Source organism: Homo sapiens, chromosome 3, assembly GCF_000001405.40.
Source record: "Homo sapiens chromosome 3, GRCh38.p14 Primary Assembly".
Classification (NCBI taxonomy): Eukaryota; Metazoa; Chordata; class Mammalia; order Primates; family Hominidae; genus Homo; species Homo sapiens.
Window position 1 is genome coordinate 97,402,032 of NC_000003.12, and position 25,493 is coordinate 97,427,524.

A 25,493-nucleotide genomic window follows, 5' to 3' on the forward strand; every position below is an offset into this window, starting at 1 on the left:
TTCAGTTTTTATAAACTTGTTGAGACTTGTTTTGTGGCCTAACATGTGGTCTATTCTGGAGAATGTTCCATGTGTATGAGAAGAATGTGTATTCTTCAGCTGTTGGATGAAATGTTTTGTAACTATTAGTTAGGTCCATTTGGTCTACAATGCTATTTAAATCCAATATTACTTTTTTGATTTTCTGTCTCGATAAGCTCTCTAATGCTGAGAGTAGGGTGTTGAAGTCCCCAACTGCTGTTGTATTGGGGTCTTTCTCTTTAGATCTAATATTTGCTTTATATATCTGGTTGCTGCAGTGTTGAGTGCATATATGTTTACAATTGTTACATCCTCTTGCTAACCTGATTCTTTCATCATTATATAAATGTCTCTTTAAAGTTTCTGACATAAACTCTATTTTACCTGATACAAGTATAGCTATTCTTGCTTGTTTTTGGCTTGCATTTGCATGGAATGTCTTTTTCCATTCCTTCACTTTCAGTCTATTTGTGTCTTTACAGTGAAATGAGTTTCTTGTAAACAGTACATAGTTAGGTCTTGTTTTTTTAAGCGGTCTTGTTGTGTTTCTACAGTCTATAGTTAGGACTTATTTTAAATAGTGAATTATCTGAGTGCTTTTTCTTATATGCGACATTATTCATTTCTGTTTTAGCTCATATGACAAACTTTTATTTCCTAGTGACTTCTGTAATTCTCTCTCGAGAATATATTCTAGATCAAAAATAATGTTCCCATTGAACAGCCAGAAAGAGTTTTAAATGTAGTTTCTAAAGACCTTATTTCCTTAGAAAAACCAAACTTGTCATTCTCACAAATTTAAGAAAATACTTTGTCCTTAGAACACAAAAGCAACCTTCAGAAATAAAATGCCAAACTTTTAATACTTAAGTCTTTCTTAGAAATTGAAATATGACAGAATCAATTTTTCAAATCTAATTCTCACCTGTGATTGGTACATTTAAGTAGATTTCTGAAAATAAATTGGAAAGATATAATGAGTTTATAATGTAACTTCTAACTTGGAGTTTTTATTTACCTTAATATATCTGACACTTTTTATTTTTTCTCCCTCAGGAGGAAAAAATCTAGTTCTCAATACAACATAGTTACTCATTTGCTTCATAACTTTATATATATATGAAACAGCTTCAAAATTACAATACCAATACTAACATCAACAATATCATTATTAAAACAGTTTAATAATTTTTAAATAAGAAAAAAGTTTTTCTTATTTAATTCTTAAAGCAAATTAAATTTCTTATTTAATTCTAATATCCCATTGATATTTGTGTTAAATCACTGTGTTTAAAGCTATGTTTAACAGTTCCCTCTTGGAGGCTATGTCTCCAATTCAATACAGTATTCTTCATTTGATGATTCTGTTGATTTTTCAAAATTGTTCTTAAAGTTATTTATTTGTTTATTTTGAGACGGAGTCTCACTCTGTCGCCCAGGCTGGAATGCAGTGGCACTCTCTCCGCTCACTGCAAACTCCGCCTCCCGGGTTCACGCCATTCTCCTGCCTCAGTCTCCTGAGTAGCTGGGATTACAGGCGCCTGCCACCATGCCTGGCTAATTTTGTGTATTTTTAGTAGAGACGGGGTTTCACCGTGTTAGCCAGGATGGTCTAGATCTCCTGACCTCGTGATCTGCCCGCCTCGGCCTCCCAAAGTGCTGGGATTACAGGCGTGAGCCACCGCGCCCGGCCTTTTAAAGTTATTTTTAATCATTTATAATATTTTTATATTACAAAGTAAATTTGCAAGGCAAAATATATTCATAGATGTCCAGTTTCTAACCTTGTAGTGTTTATCCTATTGCCTTTCACCCACTAAGGGCAACCATTATAATTATTTGTTATTCTTAGGTTTATCCTTACAGCTTTTTTATGCATTTTTCTTCACCTTACTTTCTTCAGTTAAAAATATATTCTGAAATAACTCTATTCTAGTGTTTATAGATAGCCATAATTCCTTTTTATAACTTCATAATTCTCTAGTGGATATAGCATAGTTTTTCAACCACTCTCTTATTGATGGGCATTTAGATTGTTACAATCTTTAGAAATAAATCTCCAGGAATGGTATTGTAAATATGTCACTTTGTGTTGTGCAGTGTATCTCTGAGAGAGATTCCAAAAAGCCAAAGTATAAATAAATACATAATTTTTGCCTTAAATCTTTAAGCTTCCCTTCATAAGAGTTGTATCATTTTGCATTACCACCAACAATGTGGTAAAGTATTTTATCCTACAGCCTAGCCAACAGTGTCTTACCAAATTTTTGTACTTTTTTTGTGCCAATCTGTTACGTGAGAAATGGCGTATCAATGTGTTTTAATTTGGATTTTATTTTTTCTGAATGATTGTTGACTTTTATGTCAAAAACTGCTGTTTTTTTAGAAATTAGAATACTTAAAAAGTATTTTCTAAAAGGTGCAAAGAGAAGAATCTGAGAGATATATAGTTTAGTTATATGTTAGAAGCTTAACACAGATTATTTTAATTTAGAATTATAATATATGGAAAAGTAAAATAGACATGATTCTGAAAATAACTTCTAAAGTTAAATATTTTAACTTTGTTTAATGTCACAGAAACTATGCAAAAGAAATAATCCTCACATTCATAAACAATCATTTATTGCAGTTATAAAGCTTATAATATAAACTTTTTTGAAGCCTTAAAATGTCTAGAGGAAAGGGAGAAGCCTATAAATGATCTTGTAATTGCAGAGTTTGTTTTTTCCTACAGTAGATCAATATTTGATAAAACATACGAGCCAAGTGTATTGTATTTCATGTTATAGCTCAAGACCAAAACCATTTTAAAGAAAAATATCCTCCCCTAATAATACCAAAGATGATGAGTTCTGGCCCTTACTCTTGGAATATTTGAGTTTTTCCTGTGTTCCCTAAGAGTGTTCCTAAATATATTTAATGCCTTATTTGGATCGAATAGAGCATATCGTAAGGCTATCTTATTAATCTGCCTTCAATAAATGGTGTCCTCTTCAACAAGAATTTTATTTTCCTTGGAAGAGAAAATATTAAAGAAAGGATAATGGAAAATGATTCCTGCCAATTAATTCTTAGTTATTTTCTTTCCTTTCAGCACCTTCCCTGATAGGTGTGGTAAGGAAGGACTGGGCATCCCAAAATAGCATTGCCCTATCATGGCAAGCACCTGCTTTTTCCAATGGAGCCATTCTGGACTACGAGATCAAGTACTATGAGAAAGTAGGTCTTATTTGGAGCTTCCTATAAAACTACATATATATGCATATATATGTATATATTGAGCATGTCGTTATACTATATTATTTTATTTTAAACCCTGTTCTTCTTTGGCCTAGCCTCATACCTTCTGTTTCTTTGAATCCTCTCTAACTTACTATTCTGCTTGTAAGTTATTGATTAATTTATCTTGTTTTGTGTCAGATTAAAGTAGAAGATGTAAGATGTTCATTTCTGTCATGACCTACTCTAGAGAGTTTTATAATATTGTAAGAAGAAGTAACTTCTTCAATTTATTCAATTTATAGTTTGGTTGCTAATTGTTTCTAAAATTCAGATGGGAAGAAATTTTAATATTGAATTACTATAACCTGAAGTGGGTTTTTGTAGCACATATCCTTTGCCAGTGTGTTTAGAGTTACAGTCGGCTATAATTTGGAAAGTATTATTTAAGGGATAAATAGAAATAGCATATAAATGAAACACTTTCTTTACATTCAGGTTAGCTATTTTATTTTATAAGCTAGCAAGATAAATTCAGTTGACAAATCCTTATTTATAATAATGGAACCCTTATTTCCATTTTTGTCATACATTAGTATATTTCCCCATTATATACTTTATTCCCTTTATTATATTTATGTTCTTTATGCATTTTTCTCTCATTCCTCACCATTATGATATTCTTGGCATCAATATTACAGCAGACCACATAGTCAATTCTGAAGTGTCTTATTGTCTTAATACTACTTCTAGAAGTATGCAAAGGGAATGTTAAATAAAAATTTTAATGTAAAAATTATATGTAATATCCAGTGGTATATTACAATGAGAAGGAACATCTTGCATTTCTGTCCCTTACTAGAAGCAAAGGAAATCATAAAGGAATTTAGTCTTCCTCTGAAGAAATAGAGGGCAAGAGGAGAAATAGAACTCTACTTTCTTAGTTTATTTTGTCTGCTGTAACAGAATACCACAGATGGAGTAATTTATAATAAACAGAAATTTATTGGCTTATGGTTCTGGAGACGAAGAAGTCTGAGATCGAGGACCCAGCATCTGGAAAGGAACTTCTTGGTTATTGATCTCATTGTGGGAGGGCAAGGCCAGGGTGAGAGAGAAGCAAAAGGAAGTCAAACTCATCCTTTTATTAGGAGCTTACTTCTGCAATATGAAACCCACTCCCATGGTGACACCAATCCCGCAAATGAAGCCATAGTCTTCATGGCCTAATCACCTCTTAAAGGTTCCATCTCTTGATTCTGTTATAATGGCAATCAAATTAAAACATAAGCTTGGCAGGGACATTAACCATAACACATACCTTCCTCTATTCTACTGCTTCAGAGTTAATCTAGGTTTGATAATGGGAGAGGTAACTTAGTAGCATAGCTGTATCCATTTTTTGTTGCTCTAATAATTTCAGCATTATGTAGTCAATAAAAACTGTCATTATCTTTAAGTGACATAGATAAATCCATAGCCTAAGAAAGGACAAATTTACTGAGTTTAAATTGGAATACAGATTCTGCAAATTATCCTGGCCAATATGTGCTCAGAAATCTGCTGGGCTAGCCTTTCAAATGTTACAGCCTATAGCACACTATCACAAGAAAGCATATGTTTTCTGTTGACTGGTTTAAATATATTTTCATACACTCAAAATTTCTGACTATTTAACAAGCAATGTGCATATATATACAAGCAACTTTTCAGAATCAAAATATTTCTCTGTGTTTTATAAGGGTTATATTTTACACATAGAAAAATCACTGTCTAATTTTATAGTCATTTATACCTGATATGTTTGAGGATGAAAATGACTTGCAATATTTCTAAGTTAGGATAAATCATACAGATGTAATAGAAAGAGAACCACATTCATCCAATCAAAATTTTATAAATTAATATGATTCTAAAAGGACCTAGAAAGATCTAGATCTAGGTAATCTTTTACAGTTCTAGCTATTGTCAAATGCTAATGTTTGTGTATGTACTGTTATATAGATAAATTATCTTAATGTTATCCTATCCCTCTGATAACTATGGTTTTTCATTGAAATCTACTGAAATTAAACACACACACACACACACACACACACACCTTTTTAAAATACCTCACCATAGAGAGCAGTATTCTTAACATCATAATTATATGTAAAAATTAAGACCCTAGCATTATTCTCTTTCTCTGTGTGTGTGATGTGTCTGAGTGTGTTTGTGTGTGTGTGTGTGTGTATTAAGAGTGATATGTCAGAAAGAAAACATATTGCTTTATGGGTTATAATTAGTTAGATATTCCTTATTCAGTTAATTACATTCCCTAATTTTTAGTCACTTTTCTTTTTCATACTCAGTCTTTCATTCTCCTTTAACTCAAGTGAATACAGCTTGACTATGAAAGGCACTTTAAAATAATATGGGAAGTCAAGAAAAGTTACAAAACTTTTTATTTTTTTTATTTTTTTATTCACTTACTAATACTGCTTTTCTCCAATAGGCTCTCCAGTAGAGCCCATTCTTATAATGAGGGAACTAAGACATCATCTGCTCCCAACTTCTCAGTCCTCCCCTTCAAAACAGTCCAAACCCGCTTCTATTCATATCGAAGAGCAAGTATACCCTTTGTCTTTGTTTGTTTTGTGATGCTATAACATAATATCTGAGACTGGGTAATTTATAAGAAACATAAATTTATTTCTCACAGTTCTAGAGGCTGGGAAGATCAAGGTGCCAATAGGTTTGGTGTCTGGTGAGGGCCCCCTCCTCATTTCTAACATGGCTCCTTGAATGCCATATCCTCCACAGAGGAGAAATGCTATTCCTCACCCAACAGAAGAGGAGAAAAGCAAAGAGAGGGGAAGGAGAGGGCCATACTTGCCTTTTCATAAAGCACCAATCCCACCCAAGAGGGTGTAGCCTTCATGGCCTAATGATCTCTTAAGGGTTCCACCTATTAATACTGTTACAATGACAATTAAATTTCAAAATGAGGCCGGGCACGGTGGCTCATGCCTGTAATCCTAGCACTTTGGGAGGACATTCCAACCATAGCACCCTTCTCTTATCTCTGTTCCCTTCTGTCCTTACCCTTTGTGTTCACATTCTTAATTTTTCTTCCTGTGCCCTCTTTTCTCTTCTCCTCCCTACTTTTCCCTCTTTCCTCTCCTTTTTTTCTCTGCCCAAGCAAGGCACACTTCCTTCTCTTGCTTCTTTGTTATTTCATTATTCTCTTAGTCTGTTTCGGCTATGTGATAAAAACTAATAAACTATGTGGCTTATAAACAATAGACATTTATTTCCCATAGTTTTGGAAAGCAGGAAGTTCAAGGCCAAGGCTCCAGAAGCTTTGGCATTGGGTGAGGTCCTTTTCAGGTTCATAGACAGTGGTTTTCTCACTGTGTCCTCACATGGCAGAAGGGTATGGGAGTTCTCTGGGGTCTCTTTCATAAGGGCAATAATTCCATTCATGAGGGCTCCACCCCTGATCACCTAATCACCTAATCACCTCCCAAAGACCTCACCTCCTAATACCATGGCCTTGGAGGTGATTTCAACATATGAATTTTGGAAGGACATAAACATTCAGACTCTAACAGTTATATTTACCAAAATTAGTCCTAATCAGAGTTATTTATTTGTGGATCTGGACTTCCCCCAGTAGTTTATGAGTCCCTGAAGAAAAGAATTGATTTCAACCCTCAATCCTTGCCTAACACAGCTATTTCCTTTCAATAACATTCTAGCTGAATTAGTAAAATTCTCTCTTTGTTCAGAACTCATTCCCAGGAAATTAAGAAATGATGCAGCCACTGTAAAATTACCTCTAACAAGTTTTTTAAAGGCAGAAAAGAAACAAAGAAAGCCAGCAAGACTTTCTGTTTCTACCTGTTCATAAGAAAGACCTATACACATATGTCCATCAGCTGAGAGAACATTCTGTTAAGGACAAGAATGTAAGCTCTTGAGGGCAAGGATTTACTTTGTTCACTTTCTTATCCTTAGTGCTCAGAGAGGCCCATAGATGGTAATTAATAGATACTGATTGTTGACCAACTATATGCCAGGTAATCTTTTAAGTGTTTTGCAAGGACTAGCTAATTTACTCCTAACAACATATGTTTGAGGAAAATGTTATTATTCTTCCCATTTTACAGATTAAGAAACTAAGGCACAAAAAGGTTAAGTATCTTTACCAAAATCACACAGCCAGTAAGTGGGTGTTAAAACTGGCCATCATACCTTACATCACAGCAGATGTCTCAGAAAGTCAGTGCTTTCTGCTGATGCTGATTTTCTAGGTTCCCTGAGGACAAACACTTCATTACTCTCTCATGTCAATTTTGCATCTGCAAAATGGCAGGAATAAAACATACCTATCTCACCAGGGTATTGTACAGCTCCCCTAATTATCAACTGGTAGCTCATTTTGCAAACATGAATCCCCTCATAACAGTTCATTATTCTCACATCCAGTATTTTAAGACACTGTGACTGTTAAAGTCTTTTTCTCAAAGTGGTCTTGTTAATTTTTATCACAGTCAGCAGTTTTTAGATTTTAAGAAAACTCATCATGAAAAAGGTAGCATTTCTTATATCCAGATGTTCAATAATTATTTATATGAAATGATGAATTAATATAACCTGCCAGTGTTTCACCTAGTTCACAGATTATAGAAAAACTATCTTTGCTTTTTAATTAAAAATAAATAATGTTGTGACACTGAGGACAGTGTATTATTTAAAAAATATAAGGAGATTTGTGGAAAGCTTTTCATTATGGGAAATATTTTTATCAATCAGGGATGATTTAAAGTAGCCTCTTTTAAAAGAAGGTTGAAGTCTTAGTGTCTTTTCTGAAAGTCGCATACTCCTCAATATCACACTTTGCACAATAAGTCTTTTTTCTTCCTCCGTAATCCTGTTATTCTACTTTCTCAATATAGTTTTTCCACAGATAACAACCTAATAATTATCCCTCATTTTTCTAAAGATAGATAATCAGTAACATGCATCTTTGTTTAAAAATACATGAAGCAATTATTGTAGCAATAATCAACATGAGAAAGAAAAACAATCTTTCCTTCTTATATGCTGCTCAATATACATTTCTCATTTTCTTTTGTTGTATTTCCTTTACTTAAGTGTTTGCCCAAGGGAGGAAGAGAATTTTATCTTTACTTCCAGGAAAGCTACTCTTACCTCCATCTGTTATTTAGGTACAGAAACACATCTTTGTTCTCTGCCTGTCCCTTTCCCTGTGACCATCTAATTCATACATTTGTAAACCTTAATGTAAACTATCATACAAAGTTAAATGTCGTTATTACACAAGGAACTAAGAAAAGTGTGACTGAGGAAAGTGTATATGGATCACATGGGGATCTTGCTGAAATGCAGATTGTAATATATTTGATTGGGCGAATGAGTAGTGTTAGTGGTGGTAACATGAGATTTTGGGTTCCTAGCAAACTCCTATGTGATTCCAGCATTCCTCTGAGTTGTCAGTCTCTAGAAGCCCTACTTTTCCTTCACCTCATTTAATCGAGTGTTGATAAAGGGGAAAATAATCACAATGCTCTCAACATAGACGTGAACTTACATGCTATGTCTCTATAACTGGCTAGCATCTCTGTAGATTTTACATGATTTGTAGATGTTGTTGATCTGTAGGTGTTACATGACATCAGAACTACAAGTATTAATCTGAAGCAAAATGCAGTAAAGGACCAAGTCAATTTTGGATACAATTCAGTGTTTACAGTGGAATCAGCAAGTTTTTTTTTTTTTCATAATTATTTGTTGCAGTGTCCACCACAGAGAAATTAGATGTGAGCATTTGGTACTAATTAAAACAGCATTACCTGAAAGAAAATGGACAGCAAGGGAATTTACTGATACAAACACTCATAAAGGTTTTATATCCAATTTCCATGTTGTTCAATAAACATCACATTCTCTGTGGAAGCTTGTCTGGCTTAGTAAGCCCAGGGAGGACCATAGTGCCTGGAGCAGAGATTCTCATGGTAGCAAGACTCTGACTGGGGCCAATACTGCATCCACAGCAGCATCTGTATGGTATACCCTTATCAAACAGGAAGAAACTAAAAATATATTGACAGCAACATTGCAGAGTCTGCAAACACATGAAAATTACAAATATCTGCTAACTATACCTCTAAAGTGTCTCCTGTTTTATAAAAGTTATTCTATCTTTGGTTTGGTTTGAAGAATGTATTTGTTTAAAATTATAGAAGCTGCATTTAGTGTATTAAAGATTTGTATATCCAAGAAAGAAAAAAATAGTTGGTAAAACTAAGGACCCTGAATAAACTTCATTTACACTTTTGAATATGCTATAGGGGAAAAGAAACATCTTTCTTTTCTATCTCTAGGCTCATGACTGAGGTCCTTATAAAAACGAATTAAGAAGAGACAAGCCTACAAATTTACTTAATGTGAGTTTTACATAGGCCAGGAGCCTTCAGATATAAAGACCCAAAGAAACAGAGAAACCTATGTATTTTTATGCTTAGATTTGAACAAAAGTGGACAGTTGCACGGAAGTGTGATTAAGCAAAGGGATATGATCCAGTGGTAATAAACTCAGGGGGAGTCGCTTAACAAGACCTACTGTTCAGATTATTTTTTATATATTTGTGTCTTTATAGATAAGGATGTTCTTTCCTCTGGGCATAGGGACAGCACCTCTCAAATGAGGGGCTCTTGACCTGATTTCAGAGGAGGAGGGCAGGAGAAAGTCAAAGGGTGATCTTTCTACTTTTGCCGTTTGCTCAAATTCCATGGTGCCATATTTGGGGATAGAATGTTTTGAACCCCATCAATATCTAAATTTATAGACTGAAATAAAGGTTATGACTATCAAAAGTTTATGTTCTGGTTACAAGAAAACAAAACTCTCTTTCCTACTGCTCAGAGGGCTGGAATTCTTTTGGTGGTATGGAGTCATATTGTAGAATTTCAGTCCCAGCCTGATCTTGTGTACAACTAGGTAAGGCTACATAATTAATCCCACTTCTGCTAAATTGCTATATTTCAGTCAGGCCCAAGTTACACCTTTAAATTCAGTTTCACATTCTAACCTCATATTCAGTTGCTTCCATATTCCTAGTCATACATTTCTGAATTTGCTTCCTCACCACTTTTCCTGAATTCCATGTCTTTATCTCTTTTTCGATGAGGTTGGAATAAATAATCTAAGTTGTTATCCAATTCTGAACTTCCATGACTGCAGAAGCTTATTTTTCATTTTGTTATGCTTTGCTATACAAGGTGATAGAAAAAATCAAATAAGACTAAGGAATGAATGAGACATTTGATGTTTTCAGTGAAAATATTATGTATACGTATATATAAATTAAAAATGACAGAGAAGTACATAAAAAGATAAGGATGAAACAGTAATTCAATTTCCTCAGCAATCTGGAAATCTACATATACTATCAAGTTTTGCATTTGTAAGAAAAGAGAAAAAATATAAAGCTATTTTTAAATGATTATTTTCTTCTAAAAAATGTCCACTTTCTGTTAAAGAAACTGTACTGTTTGGAGGAAAGAAAATAATACAATGTGGGATATACTTGGGGAGTCCAGAGGTTATGTTATCTGCAATGGTAAATTATCAGAGATCACAATGTCCCTTTTAAGCATTTGGGCTAATACCCACCAAGAATCAGTGTAGCTTGGGATTATTAGTATTTTTCTTTTCTTTGCTTTTCTTTTTTTTAAGAAAATGCCTTCTGGGGAGTAACAAGGACATAAATTCAAAATTCCTCTAAATTTCTGTTGTAGTTTGGTGAAAATCAAAGAAACAAAACTCACAGACACCACTTTTAAAAAATGTAGCATTGCCATGAATTCAAAGTGCAGTCAGCCTTCAAAAAACTACTCTTCCAGCAAAGAAAAATGTAAATATAATGTTCCTACTTTTGAAAGCCTGTAAACCAAAAAGTGACTGAAGCAGGTCTCAACTGATAGAGGTTTATTTTGCCAAGGTTGAGGATGCGCCTGAGGAAAAAAGTACAGCCATTGGAGCATCTGTGACCTGAGTTTTTTCCAAAGGGGGTTTTGGGAACTTAAGTATTTACAGGGGAAAGAGCAAGCAGGAGGGAGAAAAGGGGAAGGAGGGTAGGAAGTGAGGCAGATCGTTACATTCGTGTGAGGCTCTGATTAGCCCCAATGAATCTACATTTTATGTGTGAAAACAGGGAGTAAAGGAAAAAGTCAATTTTACATTGCCTTGGTTAGTAAATCTACATTTTACATAAGATAAACTAAGCCTTTGAAAAGTGAGTGCAATGGAAATGAGGCTATGATACAAGGTTGTGAAATTACAGTTCTCTGTCTGGGAACTAAAGGAAAGCAGTTTTTGCATGGCTCAGTTCCCAAGCTTTACTTTCCCTTTGGCACGGTGAGTTTGGGGTCCTGAGATTATATTTTCTTTCACAAGCCAAAAGTACAAGGCAGGCACCTAATTTACTATCCCCAAATGATGAAGGACTAAATACCTAAATACCTAAAGATAAATCTTACTAGTTTTTAAATATAAATTTCAAGATAAGAGCTGCAACTAGATTATGTTATCTAACCCTTAGCAAGTTTTTCCTTGATAACTGGCCTTACCAAAGAGTTGACCGAGTCATATTCCCTGGAGACAAATGCAAGATTTGTTCATTTCAGATGCAATTAAAAATGCTACCATATTTGTGTCTATTCCTTAAACAATCATTATTTGGGGCTACAAGTACAAACATACTTACCAAATCATACATTTACTTTTTTGCTTCTGATACTTCTGATACTCTACTGCTACTCCCTTCAATCTGAAAATCTTAATAAGAAAATCTATATAAAATAATGGTCTGATATAGGGTTGAGTTTTGAAATAGGAAAATTAAATTGAGAAAGGCCATTTCCCAATAATTTTTTATATAGATTTGTATTACTTAATATATTCAAATAAATATCTTAATAAAGGCATGGCTAAACACTGAGGCATTCCCCTGCTTCAACCAATTCTCCCAACTCTGATATTTGGCTCATCTTTTCTAATTGTTAATCAGTACACCTCTTTAGAAAGGAATTTCTTTTAGAAAATGCCTTACTTTCTTAATTTAGATAGGTACTTAACACCCTCAAGAAATGCATCAAACCTTTAAAATTTAGAGAAAAAATAATTACTACAAAAGTGCTCTGATACTTAAACTATTACAACGAAACTGTTTTAGTTTATTCCCGCATAGTAACCGATGTATAGTAAGCTGCTTCATTTCCCGGCTCTGCTATTATTATCCTCATTCCTCAAGGGTAGACTTAAGTGTCTTAGATTCTCAAATGAAAGGGAAAAAAACCTAAGTCTGTATTCTGCTTCAAATAACTAGAAATAATTATGAGGCTTCTTTGACCAGATATAATTTTTGCCTTGGAGAGTAAAGCAAAGCCCCTTGCAACAGCCATTATTAATGACACTGATATAATTACTATTTGAAAAAAGGAAATCTGCCCAGAAAAATCAATTGTAAACCACCAAATGTTCCTTGGACTTTTCAGAGAGATTCTATGCCTATTGTCCCTCATGACCTCTCCATTAAGAGACTGGTTGGCTATATTCCTAATGGTTGCCTTCAATTATTTAGAGAGGACTTCTAAGCTTTTGTATTTCATATTAAAATGGCCTGGAGAGCATTTTCTGATTGACTTACTTGCAGAACAGAAGGGTCACTCTGGGGAAAACAGAGTAACCTAGGTGGCTTTGCTCGAAAAAGGTAACTCAGAGTCCTCTTCCATTAGGGCAGTTTATCATGCAAACATTGATTCTCATACAATGAAGCAAACAGTGTATGATGACTTTGCTTTCACTGAAAAATTACAGAAAAAAAAAGAATAGTTGAAAGAGTCATTAGGAGTAGTTATCTGTAATCTAAAGCGAGCTTGATTTGTGCATCTGCATTTATCACCTCTTTTGTTTTTAACTTGCCACATTCTACTTCTCTTAACATTATTCTCAACATTAGTGGATGAGCGTCCTCTTATAATCATGCAATATTAATTAGTCTCCAGTTGTAAGAGATGTATTGGTTTGTAATTCTGTCTTATCTATTCATTGGACACCTTGAAGCTGGTAAAATTTTCTAAAAGATATAGTTGAAGGCAAAATTAGAAATGAAGACAGACTTTATAAAATGGCAGAGAATATCCCAGGCAAGATACATGTTGAGATGAGGGTATGAATTTGTGAAAGGACAAAACAAACTCAAACTGGTCCTGTGTAATGGTCAAAAACTTGACCATATATATCCTTTGATTTAAAAATACTACCAGTTTTTTACAGTCTGTATCAGAAGAGCTTGTTAAAGCACTTGTCTTTGAATTCAGGCATCTGTTTGAAGCAGATCACAAAATGGACATTTCAAATCACAATTCATGAACCGTGTCTGATTTCTATTCCTTTGATAAATTAAATGATCAGTAACAAAATATCTGTAACACATTAAGCTCCCTGAAAAAATTACTCCAGTGAATTAAAACTCAACAATATGCCTGCATTCTGCATTCAGAAACATTGGTTGAATTTGTTTGTTGATTTAGTCAATCGTCTTTTAAAAAGCACTTGAATTTTTTTTTACTTGAGTTTTGCTTCAGAAAAAAATCTAATTTTGTAATTATGGAGTTATATTGTTTGTTGTCAAAATAAATGTTTCTCCATTTCGCCTAATTGTCAGAATTTTTTGGACCAATTTTTAGCCCAAGTATTATAATCTGTGGCATATAAAAATCTAAAACACCTACTTGTTTTTATTATTACAAATCTACACTTCACCTTGTACTAATATTTTGTTTTAATATAGAAAAAAAGTAGAAAGAATAAAAGGAAAGAAAGAGAAGAAACCAAAATGAGTTAAATACCCCTATGTTCCAGCTCCTGAGCTACATATTTTTGTGTCAACCTGACAGCAGATCCAGAATTATTTCCTTCACACCATGCTGTTTCCTAAAAATTAAATCCAAGACTTTTTGGCAATCTAAAGTTATATTAGAATTTAGAGTTAAATGAAATGCTATGATAAAAATCCTTTGTGGATAAAATTTTAAATAATTAAAGAGATGAAACATTTTCATTTTTGGATTAGGCACTAACCTAAGATGGAGAGGTATTTAATATTAATAACTGTGACAAAATGAGAAGATAAGAAGATTCTAGGTAAAGGGAACATAAGTGTGAAAGTCCAAGGTAAGGAACTTGGCAAGTTGAAGGAAGAGACAGTGTTCTGTGGCTTGAATATAGTAAGGAAGGAGAGATGAGCCTGAAACAGTGAGCAGAGGAAAGCAAAGTACACCATTTCTCTCCTCTTTCCCACATTTAACAAATATTTATTGCACACCTACATGTGTAATGTTTAGCACTACAGATTCACATTAGGAATGATATTAAAATTTTTAAACAGTATCATATTTGTTTAAATATGCTTAAGATATAATTAACTCATTGAAAATTTATTTTCTTTCATGATTATGAGTATCTTTATATCTTTCATCAATATCATTTTAACTTTCAGTTATTTTTCCCCAATCCATCATTCAGGAAACTAATCTAGAAAAATTGAGTATTTTATACCTCTCATTCTCTTCTTTCCCTTTTTTAAAGGCTCAGATCAAGGTAAGGCATTTACAAATGTCTTTAACATATTTATAATCATAAAATAATACATTTGATTCATAAGTTTTATTTCTCAAAATATTAGTTTGGAATGAATCCAAAACAAAATATAACACCATTTCAAAAGTTAAAATATTCCAGTCAGCATATGTCCTTGATGAAATGTATTTCTTAAAACAATTATACTCCTGATATGTCTTTCATTTCATTTAAACATATATGTCATTTGCTAAGTAAATATTTTTCAGGGACAAAAGAGAATTGCAAGTGACTGTACACCTTTCTCTGACCATGTTTGTCTCTCCATGTTGGGTTCTAAGTCCTGTTGGGAATATATCTGATGTATCTTTGGCCTCCCTGGAGAAAAGCGCTTTTCCTGACACACTGTAATCATTCAATAAAAATTAGGGAATAAATGATTGTATGAATGAACGATTTCTTACTCCTGAACTCCTACTTTTTCTTTTTTTAATGGAAAAAAAAGTGCTATGTCCAATAGCCTAACTAGAAAGTGACTTATTGGCTTTTATAATAATGCCAGAGTAGGCATTTTGCAAGGCTCTTTCTTTACAAAGTAGGTAGGTATGTGTAAAGCATACTCTTGATGGTAATTTTGTTTTTACAAAACTTAAGGGAGAATTTCAAGGACTTGCCTTCTCTTGTCCAAAAAAAAAATCTGAGCTTGGAGGGGAAAGATGGCTGTCAGTCTGGTGTAGTGAGTTTTCTCTGAGAGCAAATTTCAAAGTGCTCTGAGAACACTATTGTCAGGATCAGAGTCTTGGGCCACTGGCTAGGAGGGAGAATTGATTCTGCGACTTTGGTGCTGAGCTAAGGTACTGAAGGAAAACTGAAGTAGTACCATTCTAGCAGCATACACTGATTTCTTATAGACATAGAAGTAAATCCTATCTAGAGAAAAGCTCTCAAAATATAAGACTCAGACACCACAGATTATGATCAGGCAATAATAACACAATCAAAGACTACCAATTACAGAAAAAAACAAAACATGAGTGAATGAGGAGAAACGATCTGCAACAGATTTAGTATCCCAAGGACTTTTGATGCGTTAAAGAATCATACACAAAACAACTATGTTTGAAAAGTTTAAAAAATAATAAATGCAATCAGGAGATTGAGAAAAAGATAAGAAGAATAAGCAGATTGGGGGAAATTAAACTTATAAAATTAAATATATAATTATAAGAAAAAACTCAATAAATAGATACACAGTCATACACTATATATATTAATATTTATCAGTATATACTAATAAATGATACTAATAATTACTAATGAAAAGACATTTAAAAAATCTAACAATACTGGACTTCATTCTAAGAAAAAGAAAACAGAACAGAGAGCATACAATACTTATATGAATAATGGCTGTGAATTTTCTAGAAGGAAGTATAACATGTTCAAAATAGGAAAAATAACACATATCTAGAAACTTTATTACAGCTGCATAGTATAAAGGGGATAGAGAAAGGGGACATTTTAAAAATTAGGCATATAGAAGAAATCACTGACAAAAAAACATGACAACCAGACTTAAAGCAGCTGTCTTACCACAATAGAAAGTAGACAGTTGAAAATAGTACCCTCACATTTTTCAACCCAGAATGATATATGCCAAACTATTTTTTCAAGAATAAGGGTAAAATATTGGTGTTTAGAGATAAACAAAAAGAGGGAGTTTGTCACTCAAAGACCTACCATAAAGAAATGGGCATAAATAAGAAGGAAAATGATTCCAAAACGATAGTATAAGAAGCAAGATGTGAATAAATAAAATAGTAAACATGTACATAAATCTGAAAAAATACATGTATAAAATAGTATCTTTCAAAAGAAATAAATACAAGATAAAATAGCATGCATGAATCAAAGAATAAGTTGTAAAGGAAATTCAAGTACTTCTAATTAAATGATAATGAAAATATTACATAGCATAGAGTGTGGCATCCAGTATATGCAGGTAATAAATGAACGAGTATAATAAATGCCCTTATTGGAAAGTAATGAAGTCAAAAAATTAATGAACTAAGTATCTTACTTAAGAATTTAACAGGGCCAGGCACTGTGGCTCACGCCTGTAATCCCAGCACTTTGGCAAGCCAAGGCGGGCGAATCACCTGAGTTCGGGAGTTTAACACCTGCCTGACCAGTATGGAGAAACCCCGTCTCTACTAAAAATACAAAATTGCGGGGCATGGTGGCATGTACCTGTAATCCCAGCTACTCAGGAGGCTGAGGCAGGAGAATCGCCTGAACCCAGGAGGTGGAAGTTGCGGTGAGCCGAGATCCTGCCATTGCACTCTAGCCTGGGCAACAAGAGCAAAACTCCATCACAAAAAACAAACAAACAAACAAACAAACAAAACAGAAGGGGTCAGGCACGGTGGCTTACGTCTGTAATCCCAGCACTTTGGGAGGCCGAGGTGGGTGGATCACCTGAGGCCAGCAGTTCAAGACCAGCCTGGCCAACATAGTGGAAACCCCTTCTCTACTGAAAATACAAAAATCAGCCTGGTGTGGTGGCAGGCACCTGTAATCCCAGCTACTTGGGAGTCTGAGGCAGGAGAATCGCTTGAACCTGGGAGGCGGAGGTTGCAGTGAGGTGAGATCTTGCCACTACAATCCAGCCTGTGTGACAGAATGAGACTCCCTCTCACACACACACACACACACAAGAATTTAACAGAAGGAATATAAAACAGTAAGTCCAGGGAAAGTAGGAGGAAAGAAATCATTACCACAAGAGCAAAAGTGAGAAAATAAAAAAACAAAGACAAAATAGAGAAAATCAACAAAACCAAAAATTGAAAAAACTGATTGATTACATAAACCTTTAGAAAGATTGATCAAAATTTAGGTTTCTAAATTCAAGAAAGAAGACACTTAGATGACTGAAGTAATTCAAGTTTCTAAAGGCTGAGAAACTGGGAAGCCGCTAGAAATCAACACATGAAATAACCAAAATGAAGACAAGAAACTTCTGTGTACATTAAAGTAAAAAATGGGTTGTATTACCAAAAAAAACCTGATTTTTAGAATACAGAGGAAAAGGAAAGGAAAAGCCTTCTGAAAAATGTCTTTTTTGTTAACTTTACATGCATTTTTCATGGGTCAATTGATCAACACTAAATATTAAGTTTGAGAATCATTTGTTTATTTGTGTATTCATTCACTGCATGTGATAGATCTATGTGCCAATCTGGGTATTATAAACATCCATAAATCTCTCATATATCATACTTCAAGTTATAATAATGTCACTCGTTCTCTGTGAACCCTTTGATACATCATTCCATTCAATAAACTGTTTATCCTTTGATTCTTAAAAAAAAAAAGATAAAAATTGACCAAAATAAAAGAAACAAGAAACTAAAAACTGGGAAGAAAAATGAAGATATAGTAACAAATATTATAGAGATTGGAAATATAATGAATTTTCCAAGATCAAATTTATGTAAATTACATGTGAAAACTTACACAAACTAGAAAAAACTTCATACATATATTATTTACTAAATATGACTAAAAAGGAAATAGAAAACTTGCATAATTACTTCACTACTAAATAATTGGAATCAGTGGATAAAAACTGTTCCCAACACTAAGAGCATCTGGCTTAGATGGTTTTTAAGTCATTTTTTTCCCCCATCTTTCAAGGAACCCATCATTTCAAACATATTCAAGCTTTTCCTAAGAATGGGGAAAAAAGGAATTTTCTGAAGTGTGTTCCATAAGGCCAGAATAACCTCTTAACTGAACGAGGGCAGTAGGAGAAATAATAACTACAGGTAAATCTTACTCAGAAGCATAGGTACAAAATCCTAAATTAAATGTAACCAACCAAACCAGCTAAGTATAGAAAAAAAGACAAACAGACAAAAAAAAAAAATAGGGCCAAATTTGGATTTATTTCAGGAATGCATGAGTATTTTAACAGTAGATAATTTATCAATGTAACTTAACATTCAGCAGATAAAAGGAAAAGTTCCAAATAATCACCTTAATAGATGCAGAAAAGGCATTTCATGTATACCATCTATTCTTGGGTATTATTCTCAGAAATCTAGTAATATGAGATAACTTCTTTAACATAATTCAGATCAAGCAAATAGCCGTCTTAGTGAGGAAATATTACACTACTTCTCCCAAAACAAGAACTACATAAAAATGTCCATTATCAATAGTTTCTACTAAATATTAGAGGATCTCGCCATTCCAATGGGATAAAAATAAAATAAAATAAAAGCATATATGTTGTTAAAAAAACCCCACATTATTCCAGATGATATGACTCTTTACATAAAAATTTTTCCCGAATGTACATTCAGATTTAAAAAGATTATAGTAAGGTGTCTCGCTCTGCAAATTTAAATGCATTTCTATACGTCAGCATCAAAAGAAAACACATTTTAAAGAAGTTAAATTTACAATAGCAACTTAATCTGTAAAGCATTTGAGAATAAATCTGAAATAGTTTTCAATATGTACAAAACAATAATAAAATTTTATAGAAAGACATTAAAAACACTCAAATACAGCCCACATTTGTAAATAAGAAAAGCTTATCATAGAAAGATCAATTTTACCCCAAATGATGTGCAGCTTTAATGTCTAATAAAAATTCTAGCAGATCTCTTTGTGGAAATCAAAAAACTGATTTTAAACTTGATGAGGAAATGAAAAATAGGGGGCCATGAATAACCAGGATACTTTTGACACAAAATATGTTGAAGTTACATGCCTTGGCAGATACTTTAGAGTTACTGTATAGTGCATAACATTGTTGCACAATGAGACAGCAAGACCAATGTATTGTAACAGAATGTTCAGAAACAGACTTGCACATGTGTGGACCTTGAACCTATGGCAGAAGTGGCACTGCAGATCATTAAAAATGTATGGGCTATTCACTAGGTAATAGGTACTGGGTAATGTATATTGGTAGAAAAAAAAAGAAACTAGATTCCCACCTCATATCATTCACAAATTTAAATCCAAGTGTTCTAAGGACAAAATGTGATGGAAAGAACTTTAAAATTTTTGGAAGGAAAATAGAGAACAATTTCCTTTCTCCTTACAAGGAAAATATTTCACAAATGAAATGCATATTCTTACCTTAAAAGAAAAATTGATAATTTTCATTATAGTCATTTTAAGAATAGTCTCTCAAAAAAAAAAAAAAAAAAAAGAATAGTCTCTCAAAAAACTTTATTTAGATTGTCAAAAGACAAGACAAACTGGGAGAAGATATTTGCCATGCATACAATTAGTAAAGGAGTAGTATCCAAAATACATAAAGAAATCCTGTAAAACTATTAGAAAAAGAACAACAAGCCAATTGAAAACCTTATGTAAGATCTGTATGTCAACCTAGGTAAGAAAATACACTCAACTTCATTAGTAATAGGGAAACTGCAATTCAACAAGAATACTTAAGTATCAAAATATATACACCCCCAACACTGGAGTACCCAGATTCATAAAACAGGTTTTTAGAGACCTCTGAAGAGACTTAGATAATCACATAATAGTGGGAGATTTCAGTATTAGACTGATCATTGAAATAGAAAACTTGCAAAGATGTTTGAGACGTAAAATCAGCACTTGACGAAATGGACCTAACAGGTATCTACAGAGCATCCACTGAACAACATACATTATTCTCAGCTGTACATAGCACATACTCTAAAATCAACCAGAAGTTCAGCCATAAAGCAATTCTCAACAAATTACAAAATCAAAAAAGAAAACTCAGTCATATATCCCTGATGAACATAGATGCAAAATTCCACAACAAAACATTAGCAGAGCAAACAAGTACCACATCAAATAACTAATCCACCATGATCCATTAGGCTTTATTCATGGGATGCAAGGTTGGTTCAACATACACAAATCAATGTGATTCAGTAAATAAAACTAAAAACAAAAACCACATGATCATCTCAGTAGGTGCAGAAAAGGCTTTCAGTAAAATTCAACATCACTTCAAGTTAAAGACACTCAACAAACAAGGCATTGAAGGAACATACCTGAAAATAATAAGTGTCATCTATGACAAAACCACAGCCAACATCACAGTGAATGGGCAAAAGCTGGAAGCCTTTCCCTTGAGAACCGGAACAAGACAAGGATGCCTACTCTAACCATGCCTATCCAAAATACTACTGGAAGTAGCAGCTAGAGTAATCAGGCAAGAGGAAGAAATGAAAGGCATTCAAATAAAAAGAGAGGAAGAAAAACTATCTCTCTTCACAGATGATACAATTTTATAGCCAGAAAACCCCATAATCTTTGCCCAAAAGCTCCTAGATCTGATAAAAAATTTCAACAACTTTCAGTATACAAAATCAATGTGAAAAATTGGTAGCATTTTTATACATGAACATTGTCCAAGATGAGAGTCAAATCAAGAATACAATTCCATTTACAAATGCCACTAAAAGAATAAAATACCTAAGAATACATCTAGCCAGGGAGGTGAAAGATCTCTACAATGATAAATATAAAACGCTGCTCAAAAAAATTACAGACAACACATACAAATGGAAAAACTATTCATGTACAGGATAGAAAGAATTCTTATTATTAAAATTGCCATACTACCCAAAGCAATCTACATATTCAATGCTATTCCTATCAATCTACCTATGACATTTTTTACAGAATTAGAAAAAACCTTTCTAAAATTCATATGGAACCAAAAAAGAGACCAAATAGCCATAGCTATTCTAATCCTAAGAAAAAAGAACAAAGCTGGAGGCATCACATTACCTGACTTCAAACTATACTATAAGGCTACAATAACCAAAACAGCATGGTACAGAAACAGATACCTAGACTAATGCAACAGGTTAGAGAACCCAGAAATAAAGCCTCACACCTATGGCCATCTGATCTTCTACAAAGTCAACAAAAACAAGTGATGGGGAAAGGACTCTCTATTCAATCAATGATGCAGAAATAACTGGTTAGTCATATGCAGAAGATTGAAACCGGCCCTCTTCTCTATTAGTCTCTTCTCAGGCTGCTAATAAACACATACTTGAGACTGGGTAATTTATAAAGGAAAGAGGTTTAATGGACTCACAGTCCCACATGGCTGGTGAGGCCTCACAATCATGGTGGAAGGCGAATGAGGAGCAAAGTTATGTCTTACATGGCAGCAGGCAAGAGCAAGTTTGTGCATAGGAACTCTCATTTATAAAACCATCAGATCTCCTGAGACTTGTTCAGTACCATGAGAACAGTATGGGGAAACTGTCCCCATGATTAAATTAACTCCACCTGGCCCCGTCTTTGACACATGGGGATTATTACATGTTAAGGTGAGATTTTGGTGGGGACACAGCCAAACCATATCTTTTCACCCCTGGCCATTCCCAAATCTCATATCCACACATAACAAAATCAATCATGCCTTCCCTACAGTCCCCCAAATCTTAACTCATTTTAGCATTAACTCAAACGATAATGATCATAGTCCAAAGTCTTAGCTGAGACAAGGCAAGTCCCTTCTGCCTATGAGCGTGAAAAATCAAAAGCAAATTAGTGGCCATGCTTGGTGGTCATGCCTGTAATCCCAGCATTTTGGAAGGCCAAGGCGGGCAGATTACCTGAGGTCAGGAGATCAAGACCAGCCTGGCCAACATAGTGAAACCCCATCTCTACTAAAAATACAAAAAAATTAGCCAGGCATTGTGGTGGGCACCTGTAATCCCAGCTACTTGGGAGGCTGAGGCAGGAGAATCACTTGAACCCAGGAGGCAGAGGTTGCAGTGAGCCGAGACCACGCCATTGCACTCCAGCTTGGGCAATAAGAATGAAACTCTGTCTCAAAAAAAAAAAAAAAAAAAGCAAGTTAGTTACTTCCTAGATACAATGGGAGTACAAGTGTTGGGTAAATACACCTGTTCCACATGGGAGAAATTGGACAAAATGAAGAGGCTATAGGCCAATGCAAGTCCAAAATCAAACAAGTCAGTAATTAAATTTTAAAGCTCCCAAAGAATCTCCTTTGACTCCATGTCTCATATCCAGGTTATACTGATGCAAGAGGTGGGCTCCCATGGCCTTAGGCTGCCCTACCCCTGTGGCTTTGCAGGGTACAGCCCCCTCCTGGCTGCTATCACAGGCTGGCGTTGAGTGTGTGTGACTTTTCCAGGTGCATGATGCAAGCTGTCCGTGGATCTGCCGTTCGGGTCTGGAGGACAGCGGCCCTCTTCTCACAGCTCCACTAGGCAGTACCCCACTGGGGACTCTGTGTGGGGGCTCCAACCCCACATTTTGCTTCCACATTGCCCTAGCAGAGGTTCTTCATGAAGGCTTCATCCCTGCAGCACAGCTCTGCCTGGACATCCAGGTGTTTCCATATACCCTCTGAAATATAGGCGGAGGCTCCCAAACCTCTGTGCACCTGCAGGCTCAACACTATGTGAAAGCTTCTAAAGTTTGGGGCTTGCACCCCCACAAAGCCACAACCCGAGCTTGTACATTGGTCCCTTTTAGCCATGGCTGGAGTGGCTGGGATGCAGGGCACCAAGTCCCTAGGCTGTGCACAGCAGAGGGGCCCTGGGCCCAGCCATGAAAACATTCTTTTCTCCTAGGCCTCTGGGCCTGTGATGAGAGGGACTGCCGGGAAGATCTCTGACATGGCCTGGAGACATTTTCCCCATTGTCTTGGTGATTAACATTGGGCTGTTCATTACTTATGCAAATTTCTGCAGGAGGCTTGACTTCCTTCCCAGAAAATTGTTTTTTCTTTTCTATTGCATTGTCAGGCTGCAAATTTTCCAAACTGTTATGCTCTGCTTCCTCTTGAACACTTTACTGCTTAGAAATTTCTTCTACCAGATACTCTAAATCATCTCTCTCAAGTTCAGAGCTCCACAGATCTCTAGGGCAGGGGCAAAATGCCTCCAGTTTCTTTGTACAGCAAGAGTGACTTTTACTCCAGTTTCCAAGAAGTTCCTCATCTCCATCTGAGACCACTTCAGCCTGGACTTTATTGTCCACATCACCATACATTTTGATCAAAGCCATTCAACAAACCTCTAGGAAGTTCCAAACTTTCCCAAATCTTCCTGTCTTCTGAGCCCTCTAAACTTTCCAACCTCTGCCTGTTACCCAGTTCCAAAGTTGCTTCCACATTTTCGAGTATCTTTACACCATCACCCCACTACCCCATACCAATTTACTGTATTAGTCTATTCACATGCTGCTAATAAACACATAGCCAAGACTGGGTAACTTATAAAGGAAACTTATTAACTCACAGTTCCATATAGCTGGGGAGGCCTCACAATCATGGTGGAAGGCAAAGGAGAACCAAATGTATGTCTTACACAGCAGCAGGCAAGAGCAAGCATGTGCAGGGGAACTCCCATTTATGTAACCATCAAATCTCACGAGGCTAATTCACTACCACAAGAACAGTATGGGGGAACCACCCCCATAATTCAATTATTTCCACCTGGCCCTGTCATTGACATGTGGGGACTATTACTATTCAAGGTGAGGTTTGGGTGGGGACACAGCCAAACCATGTCACCTTCTTTATACCATATACAAAAATAAACTCAAGATGAATTAAAGACTTAAATATAAAACCAAAAACTATAACATTCCTAGAAGAAAACCTAGGAAATACCACTCTGGACATACACCCTGGCAAAGATTTTATGAGGAAGCCTCCAATAGCAATTGCAACAAAAACATTGTCAAGTGGAACATGATTAAACTAAAGAGCTCCTGCCAACCAAAAGAAACTATCAACAGAGTAACTAGACAACCTACAGAATGGGAGAATATATTTGCAAACTGTGCATCCAACAAAGGTCTAATATCTAGAATCTATAAGGAACTTACACAAATTAACAGGCGAAAGGCAGCCTCATTAAAAAATGAGCAAAGGACATGAACAGATACTTCTTAAAAGAAGACATACACATGGCCAAAATTATATAAAATAAGTCATCATCACTAATCTTTGGGAGAAATGCAAATCAAAGCCAAAATGAGATACTATCTCACACCAGTCAGAATGGTTATTATTAAAAAGACAAAAAATAGCAGATACTAGCGAGGTTGCAGAGAAAAAGGAACACTTATGCACTGTTGGTGGGAGTATAATTAAATTAGTTACACCTGTGGAAAGCACTGTGGCGATTCCTCAAAGAGCTAAAAACAACTACCATTTGACCCAACAATCCCATTATTGGGTATATACCCAAAGGAATATATGTCATTCTACTATAAAGACACATGCTTGCTTATGTTCACTGCAGAACCATTCACAACAGCAAAGTCATAGAATCAATCTAAATGACCATTAATGGTAGAGTCAGTAAAAAATTATCATACATATACACCATGGAATACCATGCAGCCATAAAAAAGAATGAGATCATGGCCTTTCCAGGAACATGGTTGCAACTGGAGGCCATCATCCTTTGCAAACTAATGCAGGAACAGAAAACCAAATATTGCATGTTCTCACTTATAAGTGGGAGCTAAATGATGAGAACACATGGACACATAGAGGAATAACAGACAC

At 34.8% G+C, this 25,493-nt stretch overlaps 1 protein-coding gene and 1 long non-coding RNA gene across 19 annotated transcripts in view; one reads left to right on the forward strand and one right to left on the reverse strand.

Moving 5' to 3' along the window:
* LOC101929278 (uncharacterized) overlaps positions 1-13,052 on the reverse strand; it is a 114,015-nt gene extending 100,963 nt beyond the window's left edge. For 3 of the 7 annotated variants that reach the window (XR_924240.3, XR_924236.3, XR_924244.3), the window contains exons 1-4: positions 12,963-13,052; positions 12,021-12,091; positions 10,401-10,524; positions 947-973 (exon numbers count right to left, since the gene is read on the reverse strand). This is a non-coding gene — a long non-coding RNA (uncharacterized LOC101929278). Of the gene's footprint in view, positions 1-946; positions 974-9,255; positions 9,345-10,400; positions 10,525-12,020; positions 12,092-12,962 lie in introns of those variants that run through there. The other 4 variants (XR_007095967.1, XR_007095966.1, XR_924242.3 and 1 more) reach the window with 3 other exon arrangements.
* EPHA6 (EPH receptor A6) overlaps positions 1-25,493 on the forward strand; it is a 946,939-nt gene that overhangs the window by 587,438 nt on the left and 334,008 nt on the right. For 9 of the 12 annotated variants that reach the window (XR_001740110.2, XM_017006211.2, XM_006713592.4 and 6 more), the window contains one exon: positions 3,119-3,243. The exons of 2 other annotated variants lie outside the window; for them this stretch is intronic. Coding sequence is in view for 8 of the 10 variants with exons in the window: in XM_017006211.2 (XP_016861700.1) it covers positions 3,119-3,243 (125 nt within the window). In the remaining 2 variants the exon portion in view is untranslated. Of the gene's footprint in view, positions 1-3,118; positions 3,244-25,493 lie in introns of those variants that run through there. One more of the 12 variants, XR_924126.3, reaches the window with a different exon arrangement.